A 1,158-nucleotide genomic window follows, 5' to 3' on the forward strand; every position below is an offset into this window, starting at 1 on the left:
AAAAGAACTTGCACAGGCGCCTGGCCTAAATGTGCCCTTGCTGACTAAGGGCCCGCATATGCACTGGGGCAATGGGGGTGGAGCCACCAGGAATTTGCGCCTTATACAAACAGGGAACCTAGCCCCATCAGCTTTTAAATAAAAGCCCTTGTATTTAAATATTAAGGGGGCAACCAGAAACCTGTTCTCAGGACCCCTCTTTTTGCTGTGAGCTTTCCTTTTCGCTTAGTAAATTCTACTGCACTCACTCTTCGATATCTGCGTGCCCATTTCTTCATGATGGTGAAACAAAAACCTGAACTTAGCCGGGCGCGATGGCTCACGCCTGTAATCCCAGCACTTTGGGAGGCCGAGGTGGGTGGATTACCTGAGGTCAGGAGTTCAAGACCAGCCTGGCCAACATAGTGAAACCCTGTCTCTACGAAAAATACAAAAATTAGGTGGCAGTGGTGGCGTGTGCCTGTAATCCCAGCTACTCAGGAAGCTGAGACAGGAGAATCGCTTGAACCTGAGAGGCGGAGGCTGCAGTGAGCAGTGATGGCGCCATTGCACTCCAGCCTGGGCGACAGAGCGAGACTCCGTCTCCAAACAACAACAACAACAACAACCTGGACTTAGCTGAGCTGAGGAGCCAAAATCCTGCATCAATATCAAGTGTCACACTGAATAGCGGTGTGTCCTGTGGCAAACTTTATTTTTGGCGCAGTTAAGGCATTGCTACTAAGAAACTCGTCTCTGAGAAATATCGGTGGTTGGAAGGTTGTAGGGTGCTTCCACCGAGAAAGCGCCTACCCAGTGAAATACGCCTGTGACAGAAAAACCGAGGCCAAGCCCTGCCAGCAGTCTTGCCCAATCACGGTGCTGAGACAGTGAGACAGCCAGCCCGGGGAAAGTAGCCGTGCTAGGACACAGGAAGCGATACCACAAAGAACATGTGAGTCTTGTGAACAAGGAATGTTGTTTTGTTCAGCGCTACCAAGAGCGCGGCAACCGAGAAAACACGGAGTCGCCCCTAGTGGCGAAAGTGCGGATGCGAAACCGCTGGCTCGGCGTAAGAGCAGAGCCGCGGAAGAGAACCCTAGCGGCGGGGAACTAGCTCGCCTTCAGTGCTCACGGGAGAAGGCAAGTTAGAAAGAACCTGAGACGTGACACTGAAAA

At 51.9% G+C, this 1,158-nt stretch overlaps 1 long non-coding RNA gene across 1 annotated transcript in view; it reads right to left on the minus strand.

The window, feature by feature from the left end:
• ANXA2R-OT1 (ANXA2R overlapping transcript 1) overlaps nt 1-1,158 on the minus strand; it is a 52,711-nt gene that overhangs the window by 49,300 nt on the left and 2,253 nt on the right. The window lies entirely within an intron of this gene.

Source organism: Homo sapiens, chromosome 5, assembly GCF_000001405.40.
Source record: "Homo sapiens chromosome 5, GRCh38.p14 Primary Assembly".
In the NCBI taxonomy this organism is placed as follows: Eukaryota; Metazoa; Chordata; class Mammalia; order Primates; family Hominidae; genus Homo; species Homo sapiens.